Here is a 12,990-nt window from a genome sequence, read left to right as displayed (position 1 = left end):
AAAGTCCAATCAAATCGTTAATTCTTTGTTTAAGTGACACATGAAACAGCAAAACTGTGGAAAACTTCTTTGTAGTAGAAAAAATTCTGAAATATAGAATAGTATTTAACTTGTTTTATTGTATCTTTTGGAATATAAGAATACTAGAGTTACAAGAATTTGGAAATTCATCAAAGTAGAAAACAAGATTCAACTTCCCTGGTTTCAAAAGGAAAGCTAAATCTGTATTCTCTGAAAGATCTAGGAAAAATACTTGGCCTAAAATGAATAGATCCTGTTCCCAAATTTCTAGGAATTTACATATTGGGGTGATGGTGATTGTGATACCAGTTTTCTCAAAACACATTTGCCTCAACAAGGAAGATTTCAGCCCACTTTTTTGGTAAAGCAAACATATCCATTCTGTAAATCAAATAGTCAAAATTTGGATTAAATTGAGCCCCATATTACAATGGCAACTGGGATACTTTTTCTACCATGCAGTAACTCAACTCCCAATGATTGTGAGAGTGAATGGACCCTAAACTAAATCATAATCTGTTTACAAAATCCCTTCTCAATGCAGACAACAGTACCTCAGATTTGTCAATGGCTTCATAAGTTTAGGTGTTTCTTCATATATTATTTCATGTATTCACCACAATAATTCCACACGGCTAAGAGAGCAGATATTATTCAGCTCATTTTACAAAATAGGAAAACTCATAAATGGAGATAGCCTAAGATTTTCCTAATGTCACCATGTGGGTATATTACACACCACATTTCATTTCACAGCCCGTACTCTAGAATTAGCAGTGGGTTCTCACTGGACTTAGTCAAAGCCAGAAGAGCTTGAAGTGTGGAATATGTTAGTGACAACATTAAAACTTGAGGACCTCACAATGTGGTCAATTGATTTTTGACAAAGGTTCTCAGACACTTCAGTGAAAGAAAGAATAGTCTTTCAAAAAATTGTGCTGAGACAACTGGCTATCCATATAAAGTTAGAAGCCTACCCTCACACCATACACAAAACTGACCTCAAAATGGCTCATAGACCTAAATATAAAATATAAAACTTATAGAGGAAAACAGAACAGTAAGTCTCCATGACCTTGGGATAGGCAATGGTTTCTTAGGTACGACAACAAAAGCACAAGTAACAATAGAAAAGTAGATAAATTAACTTCATTAAAATTTAAAAATGTTTTGTGCTTTAAAGGGTATCATAAAGAAAATGCAAAGATAACCCACAAAACAGGAGGCAATATTTGCAAATCACATATTTGATAAGGGACTTGTATTCTGAATATGTAAAGAAATAATACATTCTATTAATTAAAAGACAATGACCCAATTACAAAAGGAGCAAAAGATCCGAATAGTCATATCTCCAACATAGATACACAGATGTCCAGTAAGTTCACGAAAAAGATGGTCAACATCATTAGCCATCAGGAAAATGTAAGTCAAAACCACAATGAAATACCACTTCACACCCACTAAAAATAAAATAAAATTAAAAAGACATACGATAACAAGCATTAACAAGGATGTGGAGAAATTGGAACCCTCATGTATTTCTGATGGGAATATAAAATAATGCAGCCACTTTGAACAATAGCTTGGCAGTTCCTTAAAACATTAAACACAGTTATGTGACCCAGCAATTCCACCCCTATATCAAAGAAAAATGAATATATATGGGCACACAAAAACTTGTACATGAATGTTCATATCAATATTATTTATAGTGAACAAAAACTAGAAACATCAGTGTGCATCTATTAAAGAAGAGATAAAAAGTGGCCTGTTCATACAATGAAATATTATTTGGCATAGAAAGGAATGAAGTACTGATAAATGCTACCACACAGATGAACCTTGAAAACATTATGCTAAGTGAAAGAAGCCAAACAAAAGATTATGTATTATTTGATTCCATTTATATGAAACGTCCAGAACAGGCAAATCCATAAAGAGACAGAAAGTAGACTAGTGGTTGCCTCGGGCTGGAGCTAGGGCAGGTAGGGAAAATGTGGAGTGACTGCACACATTATGGGTTTCTTTTCTGGGCACTGAAAATGTTCTAGGCTTAGATTGTGATGACGATTGCACATGAAATCATCTGTGAATACACGAAAACCCACAAAACTGCACATTTTAAATGGACAAATTTTATGATATGTGAAATATATTCCAATAAGGCAGTTTTAAAAAATCAATTCCTGGCCAGGTGCAGTGGCACACTCTTGTAATCCCAGCAGTTTTAAGAGGCCAAGGTAGGAGGACCACTTGAGCCCGGGAGTTTGAGACTAGCCTGGGCAACATAGCAAGACCTCGTCTCTACAAAAAAATACATTTTAAAAAAATTTAGCCGGGAGTCATGGCATATGCCTGTAGTCCCAGCTACTCAGGAGACTGAAGGGGGAGGATTGCTTGAGCCTGAGAGGTCGAGGATGCAGTGAGCCGTTATGGCACCAGTGCACTCCAGCCTGAGTGATAGAGCAAGAGCAAGACCCTGTCTCAAAAAAAATCAACTCCCTTCCTCCCTCCCCCTCAAATAAAACAATCCTTAGGTCATAATTTTGTGTCTACACAGTCCTTGGAAACCAATCCATTACCTGCATGTTGAGTGATTACTAGTGATAACTACTTGCTCCATTACATTTTTGCCCTGTCTCTTCTTGGAAGGTCATTTTCCCTATTTATTTATTCAACAAATATTTTTTGAATGCCTATTTTGTGCCAGACATGGCACCAGGTGCTTGGAATAGATACCTTATTTAATACAACAGCTGAAGATCCCTGCCCATATGGAGCTTACATTCTATCAGATTTAACTCGTATTCTCAAGTACAACTTAGCTCTTCGGGTTTATTCTAGTAGATACTTTTCAAGTGTGGGGTCTGTCAAAGAAAAACTAGAGCTGGACAGTAGTTAAAGCTGTAAAAACATTTTATTCAGGACTATTGTAATAAGGGGAAAGAGACCTCAGTATAGAATGGGACTCAACTCCCAATGTCACGTGGACCAGTGGGGATTTACAGCCAAGGAGCAGGGTGATGATAAGTGGATGGAAAATTACTAAGAGGAAACATCAGGGGTAAGGGAGATTCTGGTTAAACTGACCTAAAAGGATTCTTGCTGAAGGTAGGCCAAGTTGATCAGACATCCTCTGGGGCATGGTGAAGGATGAAGAACCCAATCAGATACTGAGAGTGATCAGATATGGAGATGGAGGATTCTGGCTAAACCAACTCAGCAGGGTTCTTGCTAAAACTGGTTTACAAGAAAGTGCGCAGAAGGGCCCAGGAGAAAGTTCAACACTAAAGTTTGGTCGAGCAAAGAAGCTTCGTCAGTGCTACTTTCTAGAAATTTTACTTCCTCCATCATAATGTGCTCATGTTATCAATATGGTCCCATCCTTTTCATAACTCAGTTGTAGTCAGTTATTAAATTCAGTTTGAGGTCAAAAGGAAACAGAAGAAATTTACTGAGTGTAAGTTTCAAGTAAATATGTCAATAGCTAAATTTATTTGAGAAACCTCAAGGGGAGCTAGAAATGATGACATAAAAATAACAATAAGAGAAATGAAGCCTAATGATTATCCTCCTTGAAATATTAGCCTGAGTTCCACATTTGTACTTCTCAGTCAATGCATTTTTAATTTTTCTCTTTGTTCATTAAACAAATACTTAGCAAATAACTCTGTCTGCTAAACTGATGTAGGACATAATCTCATGGTTTACTGCAAATGGCCAATGACTATCATCTTCTCAATAAGATGTCTTGAGTAGTCTCTATGTTATGTCTGAACAATGATCAGGAATAAAATTCAAGGAATCCTGGGCCTCTGGAAACAGGACATGGTTTCTGTGAACAGCCATCAGTGGATTTTTATCTTGAACTCATGACCCTACTTCCAGTTTATCTCATTCATAGAGAATGAAATTACTCCAATTAAAGCCTTCCAAATCAAAAAGGCTAGGGACTGGGCCATGTCTCCTCCCTGAGATATGCTAGAATAATCAATGCCATTGTCATTCTTTGTAACATTGCAACTTCTCCTGTGGCTGTGTTAAAATAATAAACCTCATGCCTGCTATCTCCATCTCTCACAGCTGTGGTTTCTGGGTTTCTGTTTGTGAATAAGCATTTCAGAATTGCCATGAGATGGAGGAAATAGCATGTGCAGAGTATTTCCCAGGCCTAGTTGCCAAGAATGAGCTAATTGTAAGCCTCCCTTGAATGCAAGTCACAAAAACTTCAAATACAAGCCACTCTAATGATCCACCTTTCCACATGAATGTTATGCTTTCGTTGTAGAACCTTGATCTTTCAGAAGTATACTAGGAGTATAATTTTAAATTATGTCATAAGATTAATAAACTATTGAACCATCTTTTTGTGCTTTTTATGTTTTATAGTGATTAGATACAAAATTGATGTTTGTATTTAAGAGAAATGTCAAATGTGATACAGGCTTGCTACATTGCTTACGGAAAATTTGTCTAAAAGAGATTGATAGTAATCTGTCCTCCATAAAAGAATAATATTGATTTTTTTTAACTTACTTTTTTTATGTTTAACAGGGCAAATTTGATACTTTTTAAAAATATAAAAGTAGGAATTGCAAATATATTTCACATGACACATCATTTTCCAACTAATTGGTAATGGCTATGTACATGTTATGTTAAAGATTCTGCAGCTGAGTCTGGCTTAGTAGAAAAGACTGCTGTCATTGGATAATAATGTTTTCCAAGGATGCAAATTAGGAAGTGGCCATGTAAGTCCTATATTTGCAATCCTTGCGTAATCGGACAAAGAGTTAACATTTAAAATATCTTTTCAGAGATTACTAGAAACATCCTAGTATACATTAAAAATAGCACTTAACTGAAAAACAAAGGCCAAATTAACACTTACCATTGTACTTATCCTGTAGGTCAATGCATCACGTCAAGAAGCCAAATTGACAGAGGAGTGTGATCTTCTCATTGAGATCATTCAGCAAAGACGACAGATTATTGGAACCAAGATCAAAGAAGGGAAGGTATGATTTCTAGGGCAGAAGATTTCATATTCTCTACCTGGAGAAAATAAATCCTAATACACTCCAGGGACTTTGGAAATGTTGAGAACCCTCTTTTTCTATACATTCTATAATTCCCTCTTAAGTCTTTAAGACTTAGTTAAAAGGCCTTTGCTTGGCAGTTTTTTCTCCATCCTTTTCTTTGTACTATGGTCTCCTGTGAAGACCTGTGATACAAGGGCTGCTCCATTGCCCAGCGCCAGGAGGTAGCATAAAGGTCTTGTCTATCATGGCCATTGTTTTCTATCTCACTTGTCTATGAGAAGGTGGGTTCTGTGGAGGCAGAGTTTATTTTGTATTCATTGTGATATCCTAGAAACTAGCATAGCATTACATAAATTAAAAATGAATCTGACTTTATTTATAGAAATTATGAAGTACTTTCCCATGTTTTTGAGGAAATGTATACAGGTATAACTTCATGGTCCCAAAACCCCTGGGGTTTCACTATATCATATACTCCTTTGTGGATATAGTAATAATACTTCTTTTCTAATGTTCTAATGTTTCTATGTTTTAATTTCCTATTGTTTTACAGCAAACTATATTTTTAAGATAAATTGACATACATTCTTTATAGCTGCTTTCTTATTTATTCAAAATTCATTCACAAACTGTTGGTCACTTTATAATCCATCAGTTTATTCTATTTTAAAATTAGTCATGTTTTTATTGAAATACTTATGATCCTTTTAATTTTACCCAATTCTCTGCCACATTCAGGGATAATTTTTCTTTCTTTTTTCTTCTTCTTTTTTTTTTTTTTTTTTTTTGAGACAGTCTTTATCTGTCACCCAGGCTGGAGTGCAGTGGCACGATCATGGCTCACTGCAACTGCCGCCTCCCGGGCTCAGACAATCCTCCTGCCTTAGCCTCCTGAGTAGCTGGGACTACAGGCATGGGCCACCACACCTGGCTAATTTTTATATTTTTTGTAGAGACAGGGTTTCACCATGTTGTCTAGGCTGGTCTCGAAGTCCTGGGCTCAAGCAAGTCACCTGCCTCTGCCTCTGCCTCCTAAAATGCTGGGATGACAGGCACGAGCTACTATGCCTGGCCAAGGATAATTTTTCTATGGATTTTTAAAAATAGAAGCGTTTATTTATGATCCAATAAATTCATCCATTTCTATTATTATTGTTCATAGTTGTACTTTAAAACAAAATATATATAATTAAAACATACTAGCAAGTTTTAAGTGAAACACAGAGATAACCGTGGCTAATGTATGTGGTTTTCTGTGTTTTCCACAAAATTTAACAGGTACCTTCTAATATTGTACAATGTTTTAGATTACTCTGTCTATATAGATTACAAAATATTTATACACATAAATTATTAAAATGATCTAAAAAATAGTGAAATCAAATAGTTATTGATGCTGGTATAGTAGATTAACAGATTAACATGAAATTATTCCCTGGCCAAGGACTCACATGTGCCGAAAAGCTACTTTTCCCCACATACGAATTGTCCAATTTAGAAGAGCACTGAGTGTCCATCTGGAATCCTTACAGGATATATTTCATCTTCCATCATCATCGTGCATCATAGGTGCACATCTCTTAATTCTGGAAGTATTCCAGGTTCTCAGACACATGGCCACCTGAAGTACAGTCACAATTAATTATTCATATGCATACAGAAGGTAATTTGCTATCTTTACATGGTTGCATGCAGAGATTAGCTCTCAGTACACATATTAGTTTATTTTCATTTTTAATTTTAAATTGACAAACATTTATATTTATGGAGTGCAAAGTGATGTTATAATTTATGGATGAAATATGGAATAACTAAATCAAGCTAATTAACATATCCATCATCTCAAAGCCTTTTCTTGTGGTGAGAACATTTGAAATTTACTTGCTTAGTGATTTTGAACTGTATAATACGTTATTATTTATTTGCTGTTTTCACCATGCCATGCAATAGATCTCAAAGTAAAAAATAAATAAATAAATAATTTTTTTGAAAAAGCACTTCCTCTTCCTCTCTAATTGAGGTTTTGCACCTTACTCTTACTAGTTTCTTATTGCTGCAATAACAAATTACCTTAAACTTGGTGGCTTGAGACAACATAGATTTATTATCTCAGTGTGCTGAAATTCGGAAATCCAAAAATCGATCTCACTGGGTTAAACAAAATCGACAGTCAAGGTTTTGGCAGTGCTGTTTCTTTCTGGAAGCTTTAGGGGAAAATCCATTTTTTCTTGCCTTTTCTAGCTCTTACAGGTAGCCTGCATTCTTTGGCTCATGGTCTCTTTGCATCAATCTGACCTCTCTTCCCATCCTCACGTCTTCTCTGACACAGGCCTTCCTGCCTTTCTCTTATAACGACCCTTGTGACTACATTGGGATTACCTGGATAATTCAGGGTAACATCCCCATCTCGTGATCCTTAATCATGTCTGTAAAGTCCCTTTTGCCATGTGAGTAACATATTCAAAGATTCCTGAGATTAGGATGTGGGCAGCATTGAGAGCCCTTATTCAGCCTGCAAGGGCACTCCACCACAACTTCCTGGCTAGCTTGCCTTCCCTTCTCTTACTTAGCTTGGACTTCCCACCACCAGGGTTTCTCTCATGAGCTAGATCAGAGTAGTGCAGGTGTCCCCAAGTTCCAGCCATAGTGATGCATGGAGTTTATGCTTCGGTGCACTCGTTCTACCCCAAATACATGTCAGTAATAAAGAACTTAATAAAATGCAAAAGCAAAGACATATAGCTGAACCAAAAACAAGATAAACATCTCCACAGGCCAGAAATGAGACAAAACTGAAAAGCCATGACTGTGGCTGAGGATACAGGCTACTGGGATTTGGTCTGGAAGAGGCCAAAGTAGCTTTGGCTTTAGCTCCTGTGGATAAATAGTTCTTGAAGCTTTGGGGAAAGGACCTAGAAGTGCTCCAGATGGGATGGGGAATGGAAATCAGGCTCATTATTTAATGCCATGGGCTATAGAAGGCTTCATGCTTCAGTCAAAAATTATTGCCAACCTTTCCCTCATATCATAGCTTTTAGCAAAGTCACATTGTTAGCTTGAAGCCTGTGTTCACACTGTTTCTGATACCCACACAGAACAGGAGCACAGAGATAAGGATGGGATTCCTGAATAATGACCTCAAGGGCCAGGTGAAGGCAACTGGAAAACTATCAGAGCAGGGTAGGCTGAGCAAGGAGGGTGAGAGAGGAAAGAATTATAAATTACTTCCCTTTAAAACTGAAACTCTAAGTTTAATTTCAAAGTATATAAAGAAATCTTAAATTTCTAAACATACAGCCAGCAAAATCAGCAGACAACATTATCTTACCCCAGATAAAATTAATTTTATAGGAAAATAAGAAAAAGACTTTAAAAGAAGTAGTCTTAAGATGTTCAAAGAAAGAAATGAAGGAATAACTTCTCTTTCAAAAGAGCAAAAAAAGTGAAGCCACAAAAGAAGGAAATGAAATAAAAAAATAGATAGGAAAGCAACAAATTAGCAGTTTTGGAGGGAAAAATATAGATATTGAAATTAGAAAGAAAACTCAGCTGCAGTGGAAATTTGGAAACTGAGTTTTGGTCACCACCTTGGGAATGCCATAAAACGCATTCTTTTACGTCTGAGTGACATTAAAGTTTGACAAATGCCGACTGAGTTTGAACTCAAAAGATAGGAAAGTATATAGGAAAACCTACACATGGGGCATTTTTAAAATAATAATCATGCACTTGGTTGAAAGCAAGTATTTCAGCAAATTTCAAAAACTGAATACCATAGAACCCTGCCTCTAAGACCACACACTGTATCTCATTAGATATTATCAACAATAAAATAATAGTTTCTATAGTTTTTTGACACTAAAATCTATTCATATATAAATATATCTTCACAGTAATATTTTTTAAATGTAGAAGTAAACCACAGTAAAAGAACTATAATATATCATAAGTAGTAAGCAGCAAAAAAGTATCTGAAGGCAAACTTACAGGCTTTAATTCTTTTGAAAAAGAGGCTGGGCATGGTAGCTCACACCTGTAGTCCCAACGCTTTGGGAGGCCGAGGCAGGAGGATTGCTTGAGTCCAGGAGTTCAAGACCAGCCTGGGCAACACGGCAAGACCCTGTCCCCCCACCCCCAAAAAAGGTAATACTAAAAGTAAAAAATTAGCTTTCAAATAAAGCTAGAAAAAGCACAACAGGATAAACCCAGTGAAAGCAGAGGAAAGAAATAAAGGAAGAAAAGTAAATGAAAGAAAAACAGGAAACAAACAAGAACAGCTGTCAGCAAAGAACAACTCGCAGCCTAATTTTGAAACATCTGTGAATAAAAAAAGTGCCTTTTCCCCCATTTTTAAAAGGTTGTTAAAAAAAATAAAGAAAAACAATATATGTGTGACAGAGACAGTATGTGGTCTTCAAAGCCTAAAATATTGACTATCTGGTCCTCTACAGGAAAAGTTTGCCAGCCCTTAATCAGGAGGAGTTTTACTTGTAAAAAATAATTTAAAAGACCAATCTGTAGTTAAGGTTGATGAAGGAAAAAAGAGTGTGGGGCCCCATAAACAAATATACCATAAATACAGTAGAGACTTTTTTAAACATAAGAAAATTGTGTAAATGTCTTCATGCCAATAATTTGAAAACTTACATAAAGAAGTAGCGGAAAACCTGAATAAACCAAAAATTTAAAAGCAGAAGACATTTAATAAGTCATTGAAAATGTCCATCAACTTGCATTTCTGCCCCAAAATGGCACCAGCCTCCCACAGTTCTATAGCTTACTTTAACAGAAGTTCCAGGAACTAATAATCTCATTCTCATATAAACTACTTCAGAAAATAGAAAAAAGACATTTTATGTAGAGTGTATGATCTTGATACCAAATACATACAACATTAAAAAATCTAGAGTGAGAGAATATCACCCATGAATATAGACACAAAAATTTTTTTTAATATGAGAAAATGTAATCCATCAGTGTTTTATTAAACACATCAAAATAGCCTTTATTCTTATAATACAAGGATGGCTCAACTACAGAATATCTGTTAACAGAACCACATTAACAGAAAACATACATATGATCCCAGAGTAGGAGGGATTTTTCTTTTTAGACCAAACAATTTTAAAAAAACAACCATAAAGCAAAGACTGAAACATCTGACATAGAATAAGATCACAATACAAAAGCCAATTTCATTTCAATATATTAGTAACAATTGAAAATTGAAATTTAAAAAAAGAAATTCCATTTAAAACAGCCTCACAAATATGAAATACTTAGTGATAAATCTAACAAAAGATGGGTGAGACTTGAAAGACCTTGAAAACTACAAAATATTGCTGAGAGAAATTAAAGACGACTAAAAAATGAAGCCATGTATCATGTTATGGGGTAAAGACTCAGAAAAGTTATGATTTCTGTTCTTTCCACATCAACCTGTAGATTCAACATAATCTCAATGAAAATTCCAGCAGGTTATTTTGCAGAAATTGACAAGCCGATTCTAAAGTTCATATTAGAATGCAAAGGATATAGCATAATCATTTAAAACTTTGAAAAATAGACCGGGTGCGGTGGCTCACACCTATAATCCCAGCACTTTGGGAAGCCGAGGCGGGCGGATCACGAGGTCAGGAGATCGAGACCATCCTGGCTAACACGGTGAAACCCCGTCTCTACTAAAAATACAAAAAATAAGCCAGACATGGTGGCAGGAGCCTGTAGTCCCAGCTACTCAGGAGGCTGAGGCAGGAGAATGGCGTGAATCCGGGAGGCGGAGTTTGCAGTGAGCCGAGATTGCGCCACTGCACTCCGGCCCGGGCGACAGAGAGAGACTCTGTCTCAAAAAAAAAAAAAAAAACTTTGAAAATAATAACAAAGTTGGAGAACTAACATCAGCTGATTTCAAGATTTATTATAAGGCTTCAGAAATCAATATAAGGTGGTATTTGTATAAAGATAGACAAATAGATCAAAGGATCAGCAAAAAGACTTGAGAAGTAGATTCATACATATATGGACAAGTGATTTTCAACAAAGATGCAAAGGCAATTTCAGTGGAGAAAGGATTGTCTTTTTAGTAACTGGTGCTGGAGCAATTGGATATCTGTATGTAAGAATATGAAGTTTGATCCATACTTCACATTATATACAAGACTTTACTCAAAATTGATTATATATCTAAATGTAAAAGGTAAAAGCTGTAAAACTCCTAGAAGAAAACGTGGAGGAGATCTTGACCTTGGGTTAGGCAAAGATTCTTTACATACAGATGACAAAAGCATTATCCATAAAAGAAAATATTTATATGTTGGGTTTCATCAAAATTAAAAACCTCTTCAGAATGCACTGTTAAGAGACTGAAAAGACCAACCACAAACTAGGCGAAAATATTTACAAATTATTTATTTTAATAAAGGATTGTATCCAGAATATATAACAAATTCTCAAAACTCATTAATAAGAAAACAAGCCTTTCACCAAAATGCATAAAAGATTTGAAAACTTTACCAAAGAAGAGGTGTGGATGATGTATTACTTAGGGTTCTCTAGAGCGACAGAACTAATAGGATATATATATATAGAGAGAGAGGAGTTTATTAAGTATTAACTTACACAATCACAAAGTCCCACAATAGGCCGTCTGCAAGCTAGCAGGGAGAGCCAGTCCGACTCTCAAAACTGAAGAACTTGGAGTCCGATGTTCGAGGGCAGGAAGCATCCAGCATGGGAGAAAGATGTAGACGGGGAGGCTAAGCCAGTCTTGCCTTTTCATGTTTTTCTGCCTGCTTATATTCGCTGGCAGCTGATTAGATGGTGCCCACCCAATTAAGGGTGGGTCTGCCTTCCCCAGCCCACTGACTCAAGTGTTAATGTCCTTTGGCAACACCCTCACAGACACACCCAGGATCAATACTTGCATCCTTCAATCCAATCAAGTTGGCACTCAGTATTAACCATCACAGATGGTAAATAAGCACGTGAAAAGATGGTTCAGTATCATTAGTCATTAATGAAATGCAAAATAAATTTCAATGAGATACTGCTTCCTACCTACTAGAATAATTAAAATTCAAAAGATGGCGCATACCAAGTGTTGGCAAAAATGTGAAGGAACCAGAGCCTCTCACAAACTGCTGGAGGTGGGAATTAAAGTAGTACATGCTGGAAAGCTGGCAGTTTCTTAAGTAAGCATACACTTACCATATGATCCAGCCATTTAGGTATTTACCAAGAGAAAGGAAAGCTATGTCCATACAAAACTTGTAGGTGAGACTGGTCACGGTGGCTCACACCTGTAATCCCAGCACTTTGGGAGGCCGAGGCAGGTGGATTGCTTTGAGCTCAGGAGTTTGAGACCAGCCTAGGCAACATGGTGAAACCCTGTCTCTACAAAAAACACAAAAATTAGCCAGGTGTTGGTGGCTCACTCCTGTAATCCCAGCTACACAGGAGGCTGAGGCTGGAGAATCGCTTGAGCCCAAGAAGCAGAGGTTGCAGTGAGCTGAAATGATGCCACTACACTCCAGCCCGGGTGATAGAGTGAGACCCTATCCAAAAAAAAAAAAAAAAAAGACTTGTAGGTGAAATTTCATGTTAATTTTACTTGTAATAGCCCCAAACTAGAAATGGCCCAAAGTCCATCAACAGATGAATGGGTAAACAATTTGTGTCATAATCACACAATGAAATACTCTTTGGCAATAAAAAGGAATAAACTAGTTACACTAGTTATAATGCAACAACATGGATGGATCTCAGTATAATTAAGGTGCGTGAAAGGAGTCAGACAGAAAGTAGTATATTCTGTATGAGTAGATTCATATGAAATTCGAGAAACGGCACTTTCTACTAATCTACAGTGACAAAAAGCAAATCAATGATTGCTTTTAGGGATGGGATGACAGGAAAGGATGGGCAC

The 12,990-nt window shown here is 36.4% G+C and overlaps 1 protein-coding gene across 9 annotated transcripts in view; it reads left to right on the top strand.

The window, feature by feature from the left end:
• MID1 (midline 1) overlaps positions 1-12,990 on the top strand; it is a 388,374-nt gene that overhangs the window by 333,058 nt on the left and 42,326 nt on the right. For all 9 annotated transcript variants that reach the window (NM_033290.4, NM_001098624.2, NM_033289.2 and 6 more), the window contains one exon: positions 4,935-5,042. In NM_033290.4, coding sequence (NP_150632.1) covers positions 4,935-5,042 — 108 coding nt within the window. The remainder of the gene's footprint in view (positions 1-4,934; positions 5,043-12,990) is intronic.

This window comes from Homo sapiens, chromosome X (genome assembly GCF_000001405.40).
Source record: "Homo sapiens chromosome X, GRCh38.p14 Primary Assembly".
In the NCBI taxonomy this organism is placed as follows: Eukaryota; Metazoa; Chordata; class Mammalia; order Primates; family Hominidae; genus Homo; species Homo sapiens.
Note: the sequence above shows the minus strand (reverse complement) of the source record. Positions and strands in the feature narration are given on the sequence as shown.